This window comes from Homo sapiens, chromosome 11, assembly GCF_000001405.40.
Source record: "Homo sapiens chromosome 11, GRCh38.p14 Primary Assembly".
Classification (NCBI taxonomy): Eukaryota; Metazoa; Chordata; class Mammalia; order Primates; family Hominidae; genus Homo; species Homo sapiens.
In genome coordinates, this window is record NC_000011.10 from 87,290,717 (window position 1) to 87,312,308 (window position 21,592).

Below are 21,592 nucleotides of genomic sequence, written 5' to 3' on the forward strand. Positions count from 1 at the left end.
TTTACTAAGTTCTTTGATATTATTATGCAACATATTTCTTTTCCTCCATGTCTTTTTTGGCTCAGTTTTATATCATAATTTGCCTTAGTGCAGAACCTTGCAAGTAGAGATTCAGTAAATATAGACTGACTTACAGTATTTATTTTGTCATTTGCATAGATTAAGTTGAAAAGTCTACATATATGAGTTAAATGCATTATTTTTATGTGCACTTGAAAATAAAAATGAGACTTTATATTAGAAAAGAATGTGATTAGGATAAATGGATTTTTATTTTTCTTCCTTTGAAGAGATTTTCTGCATTATAAGTTGTGGAGAAGCAAAATATATTCAGTCCTTGGACATTTTCTTTACAATTATTTCCTGTATGATTGTATCTAGTCTCATGCATTTAAATACTACATATAAACAAATCAGACCTCTCCCTTAATCCTCAGACTTGTACAGCCAGTTACTTGCTTCCTCAACATTACCGTTTAATTAGTTAACACACATTTTAAACTTAACATGTCCAAAACAAAAGTTTTGATTTTCTCCTTGAAACTGTTTGTGCTTAGTATTCCCTACTTTAATGAGTGGCCGTATTATCCTTCCGTTTGATCAAACCAAAAATTATTTCAGTAATTTGTAAATTCCCTCTCTTTTACTCCACGTTTAAACCATTGAGAATTTCAGTCAGCTCTACTTCTCTCCACCTTCTACAACTATGATCTAGATGACCACAATCATCGTTCCCCTCCTAACTTGCTTCCTTGCTTCTAACCTTGCCCTCCTGTAAGTCTATCCAGCAGCCAAGTGATTTTTTTTTTTTTTTTTTTTTTTTTTTTTTTTTTGAGACAGAGTCTCACTCTGTCACCCAGGCTGGAGTGCAATGGTGTGATCTTGGCTCATTGCCAACTCTGCCTCCTGCCACCTCCCCAGTTCCAGCGATTCTCCCTGCCTCAGCCTCCCAAGTAGCTGGGATTACAGGCATCTGTCACCACGCCCGGCTAATTTTTGTGTTTTCTGTAGAGATGGGGTTTCGCCATGTTGGCCAGGCTGGTCTTAAACTCCTAACCTCAGGTGATCCACCAACCTCAGCCTCCCAAAGTGCTGGGATTACAGGCGTGAGCCACCGTCCCCGGCCTCAAGTGATTCTTTTAAAATTTAAGACAGATCTTGCCACTCCTCTGATGAGAACCTCCCAAAGTTCTTACGTTGCCTAAAGGGCTTATGTGGAATGTAGACCACTCCCTCTCTCCACCCTGATTGCTAGGACCTCATTTCCTACCGCTACTTCCCTCCCCTATTTTGCTCCAGCTACAGTAATCTACTTGCTTCTCTTTACATGCCAAGCTGACTCTGTATCATGGGCTGTATACTTGATTACCTCAAACGGAAATGCTCTCCCCTCTACTCACTAGTGTTTCTGATCAGATTACCAAATTTTACCTCTCGGAGAGGCTCTTCTTAACCATACTGTGTAAAGTAATGAAGCCTGACTACGTCACTGTTTCTCCCCTTATCTTGGAGGTTTGTTTTTTGTTTTGTTTTATTTTGTTTTTTTACCATACCTGTTATCACTATATGACATATTTACTTTTTTATGTATCTCTTTCCCAACTAGAATGCCAGCTCTATGAAACCAGGGATTCTTTATTGTTCACAGTTATGTCCTTAGAACCTAAGGCAGTGCTTATACATAGTGGCCATTTAGTTAATATTTATCGAATAAGTTGGTGAGCCTTAATACTTAAATGGAGAATGTGATTTGATTTACACTATAATAATCAAATCCATAGAATAATGAGGAACCTTCAAATGGAGTCTGCTTTGTTTAAATCTTTATATTGTATTTTCAACATTGAACACGGATTACAATTGTGTTTCATAGTTAGGTTAATGCTCATACAATACTCTTAGTGTCAAAATGTGGGATCATATTACTATTTTAAAGATTCTTTTTATGGGAATAATTACGTTTTTGTTCTTTGGACATAGACATCTGACCCTCAATTACATTAACAAACCTTATACACATGAATGGAAAGAAGAATAGCCTCTTTTGAATCCATGCTAAGACTTTATCAATATGAAGTGCTTCCCACAGAGTTCTGCTGAAAGAACTGAACTTCCATCATAATGAAATTGCAAATTCATTTGTATATGCCCCTCTTATATTTGAAAGCTACTTTTTGATGTTTTGGTTGGCAATTAAATTTATTGTTTAAGGTCACAAATATGCAATTCTGACTAGAACAAGTTGTCAGAATTCTTTATTCAGCATAGCACAAAGATAAATGGCTGTCTTTTAACAATAACATATGAAAGCCAAAATTTGTTCCCAGTTATACATAATCTTTTAATCAGTCTACTGCTTTCTGTTTTCCAGTCAATAGACCCCTTAACCTGCTTCCTCACCATCTTACCTATCTAGATTATGGGTTTTTAAATTACTGCAAAACACTTCATCAGATGGAAAAAGATAAGTTTAAACATTTTGATGCTATAATTTTCCCATGCACATTTTATCCTTCCATCTGAATTCTTTTGCCTTTACCCCTATTCTGTGTAAGGTGGAAAATTATGTAGTATGTTAGCTAAATTCTATGGTTACATTTCTCACTGTTAACATGACTAGAAAGTAGATCATGTTGCTTAATTGAAATTGAGTTTTTAAGTGTTTTTTTTTCTTCTTAAAAAAACAACAAAAAACGAGATACATGTGCAGAACATGCAGGTTTGTTACATACGTATACGTGTGCCATGGTGGTTTGCTGCACCTATCGAGCAGTCCTCCAACTTCCCTCCCCTCACTCCCCACACCCCAACAGGCCCTGGTGTGTGTTGTTCCCCTCTCTGTGTCTATGTGTTCTCAATGTTCAACTCCTACTTGTGAGTGACAACATGTAGTATTTGGTTTTCTGTTCCTGTGTTAGTTTGCTGAGGATTATGGCTTCCAGCTTCATCCATGTCCCTGCAAAGGACATGATCTCATTCCTTTTTATGGCTGCAGAGTATTCCATGGTGTATATGTACCACATTTTCTTTATCCATTTGATCATTGATGGGCATTGGGATTGGTTACATGTCTTTGCTATTGTAAATAGTGCTGCAATAAACATAACGTGTGCATGTATCTTTATAGTAGAATGATTTGTATTCCTTTGGGTATATACCCAGTAATGGGATTGCTAGGTCAAATGGTATTTCTGGTTCCAGATCCTTGAGGAATCGCTATACTGTCTTCCACCATGGTTGAACTAATTTACATTCCCACCAACAGTGTAAAAGCATTCCTACTTCTCCACAGCCTCACCAGCATCTATTGTTCCCTGACTTTTTAATAATCGCCATTCTTACTGGCATGAGATGGTATCTCATTGTGGTTTTGATTTGCATTTCTCTGATGATCATTAATGTTGAGCTTTTTTCATTTGTTTGTTGGCTCCATAAATGTCTTCTTTTGAGAAGTGTCTGTTTTCATATCCTTTGCCCACTTTTTGATGGGGTTGTTTTAAAACATCTCTGGGCATGTGGATTAACTTATTTTCTCAGATTCTGTACTGCATCTAATAAAAATGTATATGATTTTGATTAAAATAGATTTCTTAAATTTTTATGCATTTCCTTTGTGGCCTTTCCTACAGAAGACATAGAGGAATAATTGCCCTGTTATATTTGAGGCCTTACTCTTTGTTTTTTGAGACAGAGTTTTGCTCTTGTTGCCCAGGCTGGAGAGCAATGGCGCAATCTTGGCTCATTGCAACCTCCGCCCCCCGGGTTCAAGCGATTCTCCAGCGTCAGCCTCCCGAGTAGCTGGGATTACAGGAATGTGCCACCACGCCCGGCTAATTTTGTATTTTTAGTGGAGACGGGGTTTCTCCATGTTGGTCAGGCTGGTCTTGAACTCCTAATCTCAGGTGATCCGCCGGCCTCGGCCTCCCAAAGTGCTGAGATTACAGGTGTGAGCCACTACACCCGGCCTAGGCCTTACTCTTTATCTAAGAATATCCAGTGTCTTTATAGATTTATTCAAGGGATTTTGATAATAAATACTCAAAGTCCCTTTGTTTAAGGTGATCATAGCTATAAAGAAGAACAAAGACACTGAATAACAGCAGCAGAATGTTGTAAAGCCGGCATAGTAATGTCCCCATTTTAAGATCTTGTTTAAATATTTTTTTGCAAATCTGAGAATCTTTTTTTCTTAACTACCATGTAATTTGAATCTTCCCCAGCTGAAGAGAGTAGACTGTTTCAGGAGGATATATAAGAAAAATACATAACTTTTAAAGTCAGACAATCCCCTCCAGCCCCCAAATTCTGGAATTCTGACTGCTATTACTTTTGTGACCTAGGTTACTGCATTTTTTGAGCCTCTGTGTAGCAATGCAATAGAGAAAAATCTCTATTCATACAGTTTAGTGATATGATTAAATGAGACAACACATATAAAGAGCTGAAAACAGTGCCCAGCTATAGTGAGCACTCAATAAATACCATTTAGAGTCCTGTCTTTCTGCTCTCCCCTCACCCCAACTCTGTTCTTCATGCTCTGTGATCTGTTCTAATTGGGCTTAATCAGAAATTAAAACTGTTGAACTAAACTTGAAACCTTTCTGTGCCTGCCAACTGTATATTATGAATACTGTGCATTCACTGATTTAATAGGTAGGGCGAAGTCAGGACCTTGAATTGATCTATATATAACACCCACCAGGTGTATGTGGTCTTTTTCTTCTCAGCAAATTGGTCCCCTAGGGATTTGTAGAGACTGCTTTACTCCCAGCCTTCATTTTAAGTCCAGATGGAGCCCTTAGATTTACTTAAGTCTCTCTTCAACCTGCCTATTTGAGAGCTGAGCTCTAAGTAATGTTAATGTGACATAGGAAGGCATTATCATATTAATCATTTTGTGTAAGGTGACTTACTTCATTGCTTGTTGCTCTTTTGACCATTCATAATGTTCAGATTTTTGCCTTAAGAGTTTCATCTTTTAAAACATTATTTTCAGAAAAAAATTGAATAGGTACTTGTATCTCAAAATATGTTATTTTATGATTGTAAATTCTTATTGTTTTAGGTGCAAGGATGGCTTGAAAGGATTTACATTTTCTGCACTTAGGTAAGAAACATTTATTTTTATGTTGAGAGAGAATTTACAAGTTAACTTAAAAAATTATACATAATTACAATAAATAGGTATTGACTAAGCATTTAAACTGAAAATAATTTTAGAATTCACAAAAGTATTTCCAAGCCTGCGGATAAATAGCTCATTGAAAGAGTAATTTGTCAGATTTTTCTCTCTAAAAATTAATCAACGACTTCTTTTGGACCTGTTGTGTGCTTTCTACTGTGGGGTATTTGAAAAGAAATACAAGAACTCACTTCAGGGAGCTTGGAAAGACAGAGCTGCTCATGAACAATTACTGAAAAGTTAAGTATTTAATTGTGTGGTACTAGATTATGGGTTTGCTTTAGGGCAGGACTCATGTACTGTCAAACACAGATTCGATTTTAAGTATCACTAGAGTCTTTTCACCTCATAGCCCATCTTTTAGCATAGCAATTGGCACATAGTATATACTGTAGAAATGTTCGTTAGCATTAGCATTATATTTTATAGTTCACCAAGAATTTTCTCATAGATTAGAAAATTAAATTTTTGCAACAGTTCTGTGAGATGTAACATGATGAGAAAACTGAGGCTTAGAATATTTGACTAATTTAACATCACACAAGTTAACTATATATACTGACTCCATACCCAGTGTTTGTCTAGTTTATATCATAAATGTTGCCTGTTTTGTAATCCAAAGGACATATAGTAGATGCTTGGTGAAGATCAGTAGTATGGTTTTTACTGCAAATATTGAAGGGAAAAATTAGGGAAAGCTTCAGTACTAGCAAAAGTTTTTACCTAATTGTCTCAAGGTTATTTTGAGGATCAAATGAGTCAATATGTGAAAAATATTTCAAACAGTGGCTGGCATGGAGTAAATACTCCAGAAATGTTGGATATTATTTTTGTTATATTCTCATAGATGATGTGCCTTAAACTGTACTTTAAGGATAGCTTTCGATAACTACAGGGAAGAGGAAGTGCACTCTGGGTGGAAGTGAATAATAGTAGCAAGAGAGTGAAAATTGTAAAAATGAAGTGTGAGGTAACAGTGAGAAAATGGCATGAAAAGTTTATATTAGGGAATATAAAATATTTTTTGATATGTAGAGTAGGGCCAGATTATGGAAGACCTAGGGGAGAAAAAAGACAAACTTGGATTTGATAAGGTCAGCAGTAGGGAGCTACTAATGCTTTTTGAGCAGGGTGGTTGACATTGTTTCAGAAAGATTGGTCTGGCCGCAGTATTTGAGACACTGAAAAAGAGAGAACCAGAAGGTGGAAAGACAATAAAGACTAGAATTTGGGTGATAGTGGGAGGATTAAAGAGAAGGAGAAAAAGTTAAGACTTGTAATGAGTGAAAATGAGGACTGATATTTTCCTTCTTTCTCTTCCCCTCCACCCTGCAATCCCAGCCACGTATTGAAAACCAAAGTGCCTGAAAGAAGGTGCTATTAACAGAAAATCACATGGCATGCAAGGAAACTGGTTTGGGAGGGAACAAATGGAGTCTACTGTATGATAAGAATGTCTTTGGTTGTGAGAACTCTGTGGGAACAATAACTTTCTAAGTCATAATACACAACACTAATTACTGTTATTTTTCAGTAAAAGATCATGAAATTTATTAGAAAATAAAGATTTTCTTATTGTTGTTGCATTGGCTAGAAAGCATTTGGTATTAAGTTTAAAGTTGATAACAAAAACAAAAGTTAGGTTTTCAAAAGAGAAGGAAAAACTTAGTCTTGTTTTCCTACATCTCCTTAGACTCCCAGAATTCTTGCAAAAACTTAAAATGTGTCAGATGGTTTTGTGTCTTTTCTTCAAATCCACTTTTAACAGAGGGCTAGTTTGGACTATTTGCACTTAAATTTTCTCTGTATTATAGAAAAATATTCCAGAAAAAATGTTTGTTAATTCTTGCTAATATTCTTGTTGCTAAAGCAAGACAATTGTTAACTATTGTGAATGGTCATGTTTATTTGTGCATCTCCTTCCACTAAGCAAATTCAGTTTCGTAATCAATCTGCAGTGTGGTGAATTTGGATTCAAGAAATGTGGCTATTTCTTGCATTTATATGGTGAATATGGACTCACCACATTGCACATGAATTAATCTCAAACTTATAAAGTTGATTCTCAGAAGAATGTTACTAAAAGCCAAATATATTTTTTATTGTCAAGTTTCATTGTAAAAAAATAATGTGAGTTAATATGTGTGCTTCTTGTAGGCTTTCAAAAAGTATTATCTGACATGTCTTTCCTGCTACCTCTTTGCAGTCCTGGCGGTCGTGATTTTTATTGTAGACGTATGCTGTAAATTTATAGCAAGTCAAAAGTGCAAAATTTAATATTAATTACAAAGGGAATGGGAAAGGAAAATGCTTTTTGTAGCACAATTTAATATGAGCTCCTGACAATATTAAACTTTGGTGAGGAAAGGATACTCAGAGCTTGATACATTTGAGAATGGTGAGATTGAAAGGAATACAATCATAAAATGGCTTAAGGAAGTGCTTATCTCATACAGATCATAATTGCTGTATCATGAAAACATACATTGTTCTCTCAGAGGAAAACTGTCCTTTATCCATAAAGGACAAATATTTACAAAGTACTCCAGTTTAATGTGTCCTAATTAGACAAAGGCTAAAAAGCTTTAAAATATTAAATTTTCCTTCAGGCTGGGCATGGTAGCTAACGCCTCTAATCCCAGCACTTTGGGAGGCCAAGGCGGGCAATCACTTAAGGTCAGGAGTTAGAGACCAGCCTGGCCAACATGGTGAAACCTGTCTCTATTAAAAATACAAAAATTAGCCAGGCATGGTGGTGGGCATCTGTAATTCCAGATGCTTGGGAGGCTGAGGGAGGAGAATGGCTTGAACTTGGGAGGCAGAGGTTGCAATGAGCTTTGATCATGCCACTGCACTCCAGCCTGGGTGACAGAGTGAGACTCTGTCTCAAAAAAAAAAAAAAAAAACAGCCGGGCACAGTGGCTCACGCCTGTAATCCCAGCACTTTGGGAGGCCAAGGCAGGTAGATCACGAGGTCAGCAGATTGAGACCAGACTGACCAACATGGTGAAACCCCGTCTTTAGTAAAAATACAAAAAAATTAGCTGGGTGTGGTGATGGGCGCCTGTAATCCCAGCGACTTGAGAGGCTGAGGCAGGAGAATTGCTTGAAACCAGAAGGCAGAGGTTGCAGTGAGCCGAGATTGCGCCACTGCACTCTAGCCTGGGCAATAAGAGCAAAAACTCCATCTCAAAAAAAACAAAACCAAAACCAAAAAACCACAAAACTTTACTTCAGTTTAGCACCTTTTTAAAAATCACTTGTATTAGTCTGTTCTCACACTGCTATAAAGATACTACTCAAGACTGGTTAGTGTATAAACAAAAGAGGTTTAATTGACTCACAGTTCCTTATGGCTAGGGAGGCCTCAGGAAACTTACAATCATGGCAGAAGGCCAAGAGGAAGCAGGCTTCTTCTTCACAAGGTGGCAGGAGAGGGAGAGAGCTAGAGTGAGGGAGTGCCACACTTTAAAACCATTAGCTCTCCTGAGAACTAATTCACTATCATGAGAACAGCATGGGGGAAACTGACCCCATGATCCAATCACCCCCACCAGGTCCCTCCCTCAACATGTGAGGATTACAACTCGAGATGAGATTTGGGTGGGAACACAGAGCCAAACCATATCAGCACTCCTCAACAAGTGTGAGATAATACAGGAGGTACAAAGCTAACATTCACTGATAGATATACTTAGTGTACATTTATTCTGCCCCAGGTCTTGTACTAAGTATTAAGAATACACTCGGGAATGAGCCAGATATAGTCTCTGTTCTCAGAGAGCTTATGGTCTAGTGGGGAAGACAGCATTAATTTTAACTGTGCTGAAATGTTGCAAAAGAGAAGTGTAGGTTATCTCAGGAATATATTTTAGGCAAACCTTACCTAGCGTCTTTCCCCAAGCTGTGGATAGGAGTAAATGAAGAGAAGAAAGCAGGAAATTTGCACAAAATTACTTATAGACTAGAAGAACCCAAATGTAATAATAGAAGTTAAGTGTTCTATAATTCACAAATTATTAATACTTTTATTTTCTGGTGGGGGCGAGTGGGAATGAGAGAGTGGAAGGAGCATTTAAGATGAATTTTAAAAGACAAATAAGATTTTTAGTAAAGATGTAGGGAAGAATGATCCAGATAAGAAGAGCAATACAGACGCATGGTTTATTTGGAGAATGTCAAATAGTTCATTTAATTGTAATATAATAATAGCTTCTATAGTGAGCACTCACTCTGCACCAGATACTGATTTAAGCTTGAAAAGTTTGTATTTAATTCAGTAGGCCATAAGCCCATGAAGTTCTTTGAGGATATGTGTAGTCAGTTCAGATACGCACTTTGGGAAGCTTCCTCTGGAAACTGTATGTAGGATGATTTGAAAATTATCTGTGTATATAGATAACAGTAGAAGTCAAAAGAATAGTGTCAAGAACACAACCACGGGAGAAAAGCCAGTGTGAGACTCTGAAGGTGCGCTAGCCTTATTCATCATAGTTTAAAACATAGTTAGAAATATATGTAGCTTAGTGTTTAAGAAGCCAAACTTTAGGCCAGACAATTCTGGGTTCAAATAATTACTGATAATTTATTGGTTGTGGACAAGATACTTAACCATGCCAACTCTCGTGGGAATTGTGACACCTATAGTATTGTTGTGAGGATTACATGAATTAATTATATTTGTAAAAGGCTCAGTTGGCACTGTGCCTGTCGTATAAGATATGCTCAGAAAATTCTAGCTATTACTATGTTCATTCATTCATTCATTCAATATGTATTAAATATTTACCATGTGCCAGACACTATGCTAGATGCTGGGATATAACAGCAAAGAAGATATACATGGTCTCACAGGCCTCACAGTTGAGTAGGGGATGTAGTCTACTAAAATGGCACGTACATTACTGTACTGGCAGTTCATTGGGCTCTCCTAGCACAGAAGAAAGATTATCCCCTTATTCTGGCCTGGGACAGGGCCAGCTTCTCCAAGGAAGTGACCTCTAATCTGAAACAGTAAATCCTGTAAATGAACAGTAAATGAAAGGTGTAAGAGAAACTGTTCTATCTGTTCTGGCATAGTTTTACCCTTGTTGCTGATAAAGAACAGCAGTGCAGATCTTAAACTCTCTATGTACACCCGTAAGTAAGAAACAAATTCATTTGAACTGACAGCTACCAAAGATTCACAGCTGCCATCTGGTGACAAACAAAACCCTTGCACACCCCTTATGATTTGATAAGCTAGATGTTTTACCAAGGTTGTCTGAACAGGATGAGTTGCAGTTGTTGGTAGTAACAGCTTTTTCTTTCTAAGTATTTACACTTTCATATTCTGTTTGTCACAGGTCTCAAGTTACATTTTTTTTTTTTAAAGAGACAGGGTCATACTGTATTGCCTAGGCTGAAGTGCAGTGGCATGATCATAGCCCACTGTAGCCTTTAATTCCTAAGCTCAAGCAATCCTCCCACGTCAGCCTCCCAAGTAGCTGGGACTACAGGCGTACACCACCATGCCCAGCTGATTTTTAATTTTTTTGTTAAGGTGGGGTCTCACTTTGGTGACCAGGCTGTTCTTGAACTCCTGGCCACAAGTGATTGTCCTGCCTTGACTCCCATAGTGCCAGGGTTACAGCAGGAGCCACTATGCCTGGCTCAAGTTCCAGACTTTTAGTGTATTGTTATTGATCCCGTTCTATCTGTATTTTACTATATTTTCGGAAAGCTTGGAAGGTAGTATTGCCTTGGGAAAGCTTAGTTATTCTTTATAAGGGCAATGACTCTTACAGGATAGGTGTAAACAGTGATACTGCAAACTCTGAGAAAGGATACTTCTTGAGGGATATCTAATTGTGATAATATTTTCCATTCATCGTCTTTGGAAAAATATAATCTAGTTTTGTTGAAATAGGAATATTATTTTCTAGATATTTTATTTTTCCAAAGAAAAATAAGTAGATTAGAATAACATCAGCTTTCAGATTTTCTAATGAAATAATATGAGGACTTGGGGAATCCTGACTGTTTTCTGATTCCTGGTCTGTACTGTCCTGTGTTTCCCTGTGTGAATACAGATGACCTAGTGTGCTGCAGCTGTTTATGACTCAGTGTCCCAAGTTAAAGGGTGCTTCATTAAGTGTTGTGCTGTATTTTACTTGGTCAGTTTGATTTTTAAATACCTGCATTATCAAACAAATGACTATTAATTTTTTTTGAGTATTCAGATTTTGAAAGTCTATTTTTCTTCATAGGATGATTTGATTTTATGTAAATTGTGAAAATACTATCTCAAATGATAAAATACTTGCCAAAGCGTATTTGTTTATAAACAAAGTCTTTTTTTTTTCCTCATTGACTATTTTTAAGTGAAAAATGCCTCACATTGTGCTCTTTTCTTTAGGTTCATTGTAGGGAAGGAAGAAATTCCCACACATTCTTTTTCACCAGAGGCAGCATATGCAAAAGTGGAACAAAAGAGAGAGCAACATGAGGAAAAACCCGGAAGAATGAATATGATTGGTCTAGTCAGGAAATTTGTGGATTCAATGTGAGCTCTTTATCTTGATATTTTAACCTGCTTTGTCACTGTTTCATATGATATTTGTACCATGCCAAGGTTATTTTTGTTTTCTATTCAGGTAATGATGATCATTTTTCACCAGAAACTGTGCATAGAATTTTATAAAAGGCACACAATGGCAAGTGAATATTATTTATTATTTCTGGCAGGACTGTAGACCAGCATATGCCTTTAAAAGAGGTTTGCATAAAATTGGAATACTTTTGTATTTCAAACCAGGCAGAATTACAGGAGGCTATGATGGAGAACTTCAGGAAACTGATTACTATGTGTTGATTTAATATGCCAAGTATGGAAAGAAGGAAGCAAAATTCCTGAGAGAGATTGAAGAAGATTAAGGAATAATAAGGGATAACCCTTAAGTAAAGGATATTTTGTAAGAGTGAAAATTTTTGGGGTTCTCAAACTGAAATGTTTTTATTTGTATATTATAAAAAGAAGCTATCATGTTTCATACAAATTTTCATTTATATTTCTAGGATAGATACTTAAGAAAATAAATTTAATAGTTTGAAATTAGATTATCAACCAATAAAATCTTGGTAGTGATATTTTAGAGAGGGTGGAATGAGTAGGCAATAAAGAAAGTTAGGGGATCAATTATAGCAAGGGTCCTGAACCTCTGGGCCATGGACCAGTACTGGTCCGAGGCCTGTTAGGAACCTGGCCACACAGCAGGAGGTGAGCAGCAGGCCAGTGAGCATTACCGTTTGAACTCTGCCTCCTGTCACATCAGCAGTGGCATTAGATTCTCATAGGAGCACAAACCCCATTGTGAACTGCGCGTACAAGGGATCTAAGTTGCGTGCTTCTTATGAGCATCTAATGCCTGATGATGTGGGGTGGAACAGTTTCATCCTAAACCACCCCCCTCTCCAGCCACCCAGTCAGTGGAAAAATTCTCTTCCGTGAAACCGGTCCCTGGTGCCAAAAAGGTTGGGGACCATTGAATTATAGGAAGCTGAGGTCCTTTAATAAATTAGAAAACCTATGTTTCACTCTTATTTTCCCTCTGCCAGCATTGTAACTTTGGACGAGAGATTTAACCATTATGCATTTCCAAGTTCTTATCTGTTAACTGGGGTTAATAATCTCTATTAAGAATTGCTGTGAGCATTAAATGAGATAACATTTATGAACTTGCCTGACATAAAATGTTAGCACAGGGAGCGTACTCAAATTTTTATTGAATTTAAAGATTTTGTCTTCATCTTAACAAATAATACATCTAGAAGATAACAGGAATAATTATGGTAGTTGAATTTATTAAACAAGTTCAAAAATAATTTTGGGTTACCTCAGTGGAGAAAAGGGAGAAAGGACCCTATTAATGGAAATAATTTCAACAGTAATCAGAGGGGAATGCAGAGAATGAATTATATGGGTGAATGATGCCTTGGGCGTCAGAACTGATCAGGTCATGACAGAACGTATCATAGTAGCCTCAGTGGATCTTCTGGTATGAAAGTGGATGCAGAATACTACAGAAGCAAAGCAAATAATACAAGAGACAGGCATTCCAGGTGCTGGGAAGCCATTTATGAGTGACTAAGAAAGACTAATTGACAGTACGGTTGATATCAGGATTTAACTTCACTAGCAAAGAAAATTTAGGCCAGGCATGGTGGCTCACACCTGTAAAACTAACACTTTGGGAGACTGAGGTAGGAGAATCACTTGAGGCCAGGAGTTTGAGACCAGCCTAGGCAACATAGCAAGACCCTGCCTCTAAAAAAAATTTAAAAATTAGCTAGGATTGATGGCATGTGCCTGTAGTCCTAGCTACGCAGGAGGCTGAGGTGGGAGGATTGCTTGAGTCTAGGAGTTCAAGGCTGCGGTGATCTATGATCATTATGATCATGCCAATGCACTCCAGCTTGGGTGACAGAGTGACACCCCCATCACTTAGAAAAAAAAAGGAAACTTAACAAATTTCAGTGTAGTTCTGGTAGCAGTGGTTGAGAAATATCTTTGAAGTGGACACTTAGAAGTGTGAAGAGTGATGGCTTGCCTGAGGCAGCCTTTCTCTTATTCACTGCTTGTCAGGTCTCCAGCTTTAATCACTCAACAGCTTCACATGGCCAGATATGCCTTAGCATTCTAAAGATATAAGGGCTGTGGCCAGTGTGAACTGAACTGTTGCTGTCACCCTTGACTAGGAAAGGCTGTATGCTCCAGCTGTAGTGCAGAATTGGATTTCTGTAAAGGTCTTGCTAATCAATTTGCGAATGGGATTGGAGAAGTGCAGAGCCAGAACATTGCTCTGCAAGTTATTGTTATAAACAGGAAAACATTCATGTGGTTCAACCATGAAAATAATTAATTAGCTACAATCTGAAAGAAGTTATAAAGACCGCTTATTTTGGAACATGAACCCTCAAAGAGAGAGAGAGCTAGACCCATGTTAGATATTCTGCTTACTTTTTTATGCCTAAGGTGAATAAATAGTCTTGGATTTAACATGCTAAACCACTAAAATGAGTGCATCCTGAACAGTAGTCCTCCCAGCAGAAATATTTATTAAACACTGGAGGGTTAAGTGGTTTACAATTAAATCACAAATTAGCTACTTTTGAATTACCACATGATCTCTATTTCTATATTTATTTCAACTGAATTTTGAATTCTAATACTATATCATGTTTCTTTTCCAGATGTTTTCTCTCAAATCTAATTAAGTATAAATTCCTGTAACCTGAGCATGTTCTCATTATGACTTTTGCTCAAGTACTGACTTCATGGATGATTTATTACCAATATACTCTACAATAAGCAATTTAAGGTTTCCAAAAGACTTGGCAGAGTATATATATAATATATACATATTTTTTCATATTTAACCACAAATAACAGTGTGGTTTCTCCAGTCCGTATTCAAGTATTTTGACTGCAGTCACATAGTTTATACAATGTGTCAAATGGTAAGCAGCAAGTAGAAAAAGCAAAAATATATGTTGTTCTTGCTTCTGTATCTCCTAAAGCACCAAAAGTGACACACATTTAGAAGTAGTGAGTGGGCCAGGCACGGTGGCTCACACCTGTAATCCCAGCACTTTGGGAGGCCGAGGCAGGCGGATCACCTGAGGTCAGGAGCTCGAGACCAGCCTGGCCAACATAGTGAAACCCCATCTCTACTAAAAATACAAAAATTAGCTGGGCGTGGTGGCAGGCGCCTGTAATCCCAGCTACTCGGGAGGCTGAGGCAGGAGAATCGCTTGAACCTGGGAGGCAGAGGTTGCAGTGAGTTGAGATCACGCCCATTGTACTCCAGCCTGAGGGACAAGAGCGAGACTTTATCTCAAAATAAATAAATAAATAAATAAATAAATAAAGTGATGTTTTCTTCTCTCTCTTTTTTTTTTTGGTTAGAAAGCTTTAAACAGATCCACAAACATGTACAAACACATGGATATACACACTTTAATTATAATTAGTTTAATTTTTTTGGGTTCAATTTCAGATGCAAACATGGACCAAGGCATAGATGTTGCAAACATTATGAAGATAATTGCATCTCTTATTGCATTAAAGTAAGTATATGAAAGTATGTACTTTATTAACAGTAGGGAATGGGTATAGAAATTATTTATTTATTTAGAAATAATTTAAAAATAAATGGAAAAGTTGACATTAATAAATGCTATCATTCTTTGAATTTGACTTCAAGAGTGAGAAATTTATGACAATAGGTGACGATTTAGCTTTTAGTATTCACTTACCAGATCCTTAAATAATTTAAAAAATTAGCTTGTTTAAAAATTGGCTTAATTAAAACTTATGATATAGAAGATAAGATGGGATAACAACAAGGAAACATAAAGTCATTAAAATTTGTACTTTGTAATGTATCCTCATTAGAACTACATCTTAGAACAAGACTCTGACTCCCAGACTGTGCTGTGTGCTAGCTGGATCAGCACTCACACACATACACTGTATGCACTGTGCCAAGTCTGTTACAATGGCATTTAATTTTGGACTTGTAAAACTATTACTTTTTTTTTTAAGCCATTGAGATAACTGGAGCATGTCCACAGTTGCTCTGCATTAAGAGAGCTAACTATGCCTGGCATAAATTCTTGACTCCCTAGTGGACTTGAGTACTAGTGTGTCTCTTCCTCTTCCCCTGCTGTTGTGTTGTCCCTCCTCCCTTCCCCCATCACCACCACTTCTGAGAAGAAAGTTATTTTCTTTGCAGTCAGCATGGCACAGGTGGCACCACCTGCTGCAAGTTCTTTAGTTTTTTTTTCTTTTTTTGTTAAAGACAGAGTCTCGCTCAGCCACCCAGGCTGGAGTGCAGTGGCACTATCTCAGCTCACTGCAACCACCATCTCCTAGGTTCAAGCACTTCTCCCATCTCATCCTCCTGAGTAGCTGGGATGATTGCAGGCACCCATCATCATGCCTGGCTAATTTTTGTGTTTTAGTAGAGGCAGGGTTTCACCATGTTGGCCAGGCTGGTCTTGAACTCTTGACCTTAGGGGATCTGCCTGCCTTGACCTCCCAACACTAGGATTACAGGTGTGAACCACCGCGCCCGGCCAAGTTCCTTTATTTTGAATGGTGCTCTAACAGTTCCAATGCTGTAGAAAGTTTATGTTCTTCTTGCAATTTTAGTCTCTACTCAGTTGATGATGAGAAGAACAGAGTTGTGCAGCACCCCAAAAGACAGCCCCTTGGTGGTTACTCTAGAAAGGAGGAACTGTCCCACATTAGTGCTCATGAAGGTAAACATCTATGGCCCAGTGTTGACAGTGCCGTTAGCCCAGCCCACACTTAGCTTCACAATTCCCCAAAATGACCAAGGATAAAATAGTAGGGTTTTGTTTTGTTTTGTTCCTCAGTTGTGCAATACTTTCTGACACTCTTTCCAAATTTGATTTCCTGCCTCAGTTTAAAGTGGCCAAAAAAAAAAAAAAAGTAACATTGCTGGCAGTCCAAGTCAGCTGATAACCTGGATTTATTATTCCTTCCAACTGAACATGATTGTAGTTCAAAGGAAAACTTTAGATGGGGAACTAAGAGGAGTATTTGGATTAAATCAGAGGTATTTGAGAAATTTGGCGTGGGGAAGGTGATATTAAAAAAATTGTATGAGAAAGTTAGTGAGAATTTCCAAGCAATAAAAAACTAGTGATTCTTTCAAATGTGTACCAGTACTGTAAACTTGGCAATTTATGTATACATTGGAATGCCGTATTATATCCATGAATGTAAAACTATTGGAGACCTGTGGGTGAGGAATTTAAACCATAAACATGGTAGTGAAATTTTTTGACAATGGACCTCATTATTTTACAAACTTAATTACACCATATGTTAAATCACATCCCTGAATAAATACTCATATTAATTACATTGTCCTCAACATTCTGTACTCCATTCACACTAACTTTTTCTTGGTTCCTTATACCTGCCAGCCTCTTAATTGGCTTTATGTTTTCTGTCTGAGCTGTCTGAAATGTTTTTCTCATTCTAGCTTCTTCTCTTTTGGGTCTATTTAAATGTCATATCATTTACATGTCTGCCCTTAACATTTAATCTAATATAGATTGCCCTGTTAATGTCTATCCTAGTGTCTTGATTACTTCCTTCCTAACATTTATTATAATCTTTTGTATTTGTTTACTTAGTTGTTTTCTTTTCCAGTAATGAGCATGAAAGCTCCACAAAGGCAAGAACTCTGTGCCCTCCTCATCACTGTTATCCCCAGCATCTAGTGTAATGTTTGGCAGATAACAGGCATTCAGCAAATATTTTCTAAGTACATTAATGGGTGGATGAATAGTTCTCTTGAAAATAGCATGAAAAAGATTGTAATGTAATTATAATCCCTAAATCCTTAGATTATAAGGTTATCAATGGCAAGATGAAAGTGTGACCATTTCATTCATTTAAATACTAGGCAATTTCAGTTAAGCAAATGCTTGAGAATTCACAGTAATTGATTGGACAATTTGATTTTGTGTTTTAATAAGGCATTAGGTAGTTTCAGGTAAATTAACCAGTGTTTCCTCATAGTAATTAATTTTTTTTTCTGGAAAAGAAAGCTGCAGTCCAGAAAATACAAACCTAACTTTTGGGCATACACTGCTATGAGTGTAGATATTTTCCAATTCCAGTCAGAGTTAGAGAGGAGGAGGATGGGACACCGGTTTTAACAATGTATTGGTTGAACTGTACAGAAAGTACTATTCTTTTTGTTAATGTTTTATGCTGATTGAAATTTTTCAGTTTCAATATTAATTACTTACAGTCTCTCAGACATCTAAAATTCATCTTCCTAAATACAGAAATGAAATTGACCAGTAATAGTCATCCTCTCCAAATCTCTTTTGCACTATGGACAGTTGAAGGAAATATAGAGAAATGTTGACAGCAAATATGGATTTGTAGTGGGTTTGCTTTTTCAAGTTTAGTTTAATATACTTTAAAGCTACTCCTCCCTAGAGATGTTTTAGCCCGACAGGAATGAAAACCTAGACATAATTCTGCACCCCCTGCCCCCTGGAAGTTCTTCTTACCTGACCATTGTAAAAGTTAGCACCAAAGGTCTGAAAAAATAATGAAAATATTTTTCTATGAAAATAATCCCTACTCATGCTAATCATTAAGAGCAGTTTTCTGTTAACATTTTCAAGAGCATTTGGTTTTATTAAGTAGTTTTTGGAATTTTAGTGCTTTTGTATGTAAAACTCATTTGTGGTTTAGGAATTTAAAATCCTGATTATTGTCAACAAAATGTCAAGAAATGGAATTTTGGTGCATAGGCAAGCTTGGCCAGTGCTTGTGAGACTTTTTAAGTCTTTGTAAATCAAAGAAAGTAAACTCATTCCAAGATTTCACTCTTATTTTTAAGGTAATTGTTTTAAAATTATTGTTTGAGGTTTTAAGGCTTTATTTTGCTGTGCTATAAACTTAGATTAAATTTGTTTTGTCTTGTTTCTATTTTGAGATGGTAAAATTCGTATTCTATCAAAAACTTCAAAATTTGTTTGTAAATCAGGTTTTTCTCCAAATTTCCTCTAGGGTTTCATCAGAATGTTTAGCGTGGGGTACTTGATCCAGTGCTGCCTCCGAATCCCTTCTGCATTTAGGCATCTGTTTACACAGCCATCTCGGCTACTTTCTCTCTTCTACAATAAAGAAAACTTCCAGCTTGGAGCTTTTCTTGGCTCTTTTGTTAGTATATACAAGGTAAGGCTTTTAGAAGAGGAAAGAAAAATGGGAAATAAATAACATTGCTATTGTTAGAATGAGAGATGGCCTTAGTTCACTTATTTTTTAATGCTTCTTTCTGGAATATTCATACATATCTTGACATAACCAAATCTATACAATATATTGGGAAGTGAGGGTACAGAAATTTCTTCTTTTAAAATATTATTTAATATACTCGAGTGTGTAGACATGTTTGCATTTACATATGGTATTACACATTGTCAGACTCATTTTCTTTTTCAATATATAGACACTCAGAAAATATGAATTTTTTGGATATTTCCAATATCAAAAATGATATTAATATGCCTGGCTTATTTATTTTTTTATCATATTTACTGCCTGGTTATTAATTTAAATGTATTTCAGATCTTTCTAGCTGAAATAAACACTTGATAGAATCGGTGAGGATTTTCTATTGTAACTTATATAAGCAATGACTTAGGTCCCTTCTTCCACCCACTCACAGTTCCTACTACACTGTCTCAAATAACCAGAGTTCACAGTCTTCCACCCCATTCTGTATGTTCCTATAAAAGTGTCCATACATATATAAGCCCACGCCTAAACATATATGTAGAGATCATTCTTAACCTAGTACTCTGCAACTTTAAGTGATGGCCTTTTGCATAATGGAATCACTAATATGTAAATCATATTTTATTAAACGCTTAAAAGATTCTAAATCTGAATATAATCTCTAAATGGTAAAGTGTGTTAATTAATGTTGACCTAACACATGGACATAAAGATGACAACAGAAGTCACTGGGGGCTTCTAGAGGAGGGAGGGAGGGAGCAGGGCAAGGATTGAAAAACTAGTGCCTGGGTATTGGGATCAATCATACCCCAAACCTCTGCACCACACAATATACCCCTGTAACAAACCTGCATATGTATCCCCCGAATCTAAAAAAAAAGTTGCAATTAAAAAAAAAAAAAAAGGAGATTAGAACATATACACACACAGAGGAATGACCATGTGAGGACACAGGGAGAAGGTGGCCATCTGCTAGCCATGGAGAGAGAAGGAGCGAACCTTGAGCATACCGTGATCTTTGAACTCCCAGCCTCTATGACTGTGAAAAAAATAGATTTTTTTTTAATCTACAATCACAAATTGCTCACTTTTGCCTTAATTTTACTCTATAAAAGATATGTGTTTTGAGCACAGGGATTGTGTCTCATTTTGTAGGAACATGCAGCAGGCATTCCAATATGTCTGACTAATGAATTAAGGACATTAAAGGAGTGTGCATTTTTGTAGATGAGATTTGCCTACCTTCCCTCTGTCTACAAAAAAATTATAAATATATATTTTATTCATACTTTATTTCTTTGACTGTTTTAATGTATATTTTAATAAATATATTGAAAGAAGAATATATATTCTGTGGGTATATATATATGTCTATATATATATATATACGTACACATATACACACTTTTTGTTGTTAAATGCAGAGAAAATTAATGATGGGAAAACTCAATTCTGGAATTATTTAGGGTAACATGGACAGTGTTGTTTTCTGTAAAAATTTACTCATAAAAGGTAGGTATGGATAAAATATTTTGAAATGGAAAGGAGGAATAATAAACTATAGATAATGAATCACTTGTTATGAAATATTACTAATATTAAAAACATTTTCAATATGGTTTGACTAAGAAGCATTACTAATGTATTTGAATATACAAGAGTTAAGGACAGATTATTGGTAATTGCATGTTTATATTCACATTTAAAAAAATTTCTCACGTTATAGCATTTGTATTTATTCTTAACATAAACTCTTAACTGTTTACATGTGGTTTATCACCAACATTTTTAGCCCCAGGTTGGTTATTCTCTGCCATCTAGCTTATCTCAGAGTGTGTTTTGTTTTGCTTTTTTATTTTTCATTTCTGTTACTATTTATTTACTTAGGTAATACAAACAAATGGTATTAAAGTAACAAAAATACAACCGGGTCAGAAAATCTCAGGAAATATTCACGTGGTGTGTTCAAAAATTGTATGTGATTTTTCAAAAACAAATTGCCCATGCTATAGTATCTTTATAAGAATCTTAAGAGAAGAGCAGGCAAATAAACCTTGTTTTTTCTGTTTCTTGGTTAACTGACCCTTTTTTAAAAATTTGTTAAGGTTCCTCTTTATCTCTGGTAATATTCATTGTTTTATAGTCTATGTTTAATATTAATATAGCTACTTCAACTTTTCAAAATTATTGTTTGATGTTATAATGTTTCCATTCTTTCACTTTTTCTGTCTTTGTTTGAAAAACTGGTTTCTTTTAGGCTGCAGAGAGTTGGCCCTTTCTTTCTTATAGAATCTGATCATCTCTGTCTTCTAATTGGCATGTTTATACTGTTTACATATAATGTATTATGTGTAAATATATATAGTTTATGATGTGATTGAGTTTAAACCTACTTTCATGTTAGTTTTTTTGTATTTGTTCCTTTTTTTCTTCCTCTTTTTTTTTTTTTCTTTTTCAGCCTTCTGGATTGATTGTGTATTTTACTATGGCTCCATTCTAGCTTCACTATTGCCTTATTATTTGTACTTGCTTTAATTTAGTGGCTGCCTTAACATTTTATAATATACATTTTT

The 21,592-nt window shown here is 36.2% G+C and overlaps 1 protein-coding gene across 5 annotated transcripts in view, besides 1 other annotated feature; it reads left to right on the top strand.

Annotated features, from left to right (window-relative positions):
* Window positions 1-21,592, top strand: part of TMEM135 (transmembrane protein 135) — a 290,891-nt gene that overhangs the window by 252,783 nt on the left and 16,516 nt on the right. For all 5 annotated transcript variants that reach the window (NR_033149.2, NM_022918.4, NM_001168724.2 and 2 more), the window contains 4 exons: window positions 5,066-5,107; window positions 11,580-11,726; window positions 15,220-15,289; window positions 18,789-18,956. Coding sequence is in view for 4 of the 5 variants with exons in the window: in NM_022918.4 (NP_075069.3) it covers window positions 5,066-5,107; window positions 11,580-11,726; window positions 15,220-15,289; window positions 18,789-18,956 (427 nt within the window). In the remaining variant the exon portion in view is untranslated. The remainder of the gene's footprint in view (window positions 1-5,065; window positions 5,108-11,579; window positions 11,727-15,219; window positions 15,290-18,788; window positions 18,957-21,592) is intronic.
* Window positions 10,475-10,524: an enhancer, noted in NCBI's record as "active region_5375". NCBI's record gives its function as "activates an Ori minimal core promoter by ATAC-STARR-seq in GM12878 lymphoblastoid cells {active_cell/tissue: GM12878}" and the evidence as "EXISTENCE:reporter gene assay evidence [ECO:0000049][PMID:35858748]".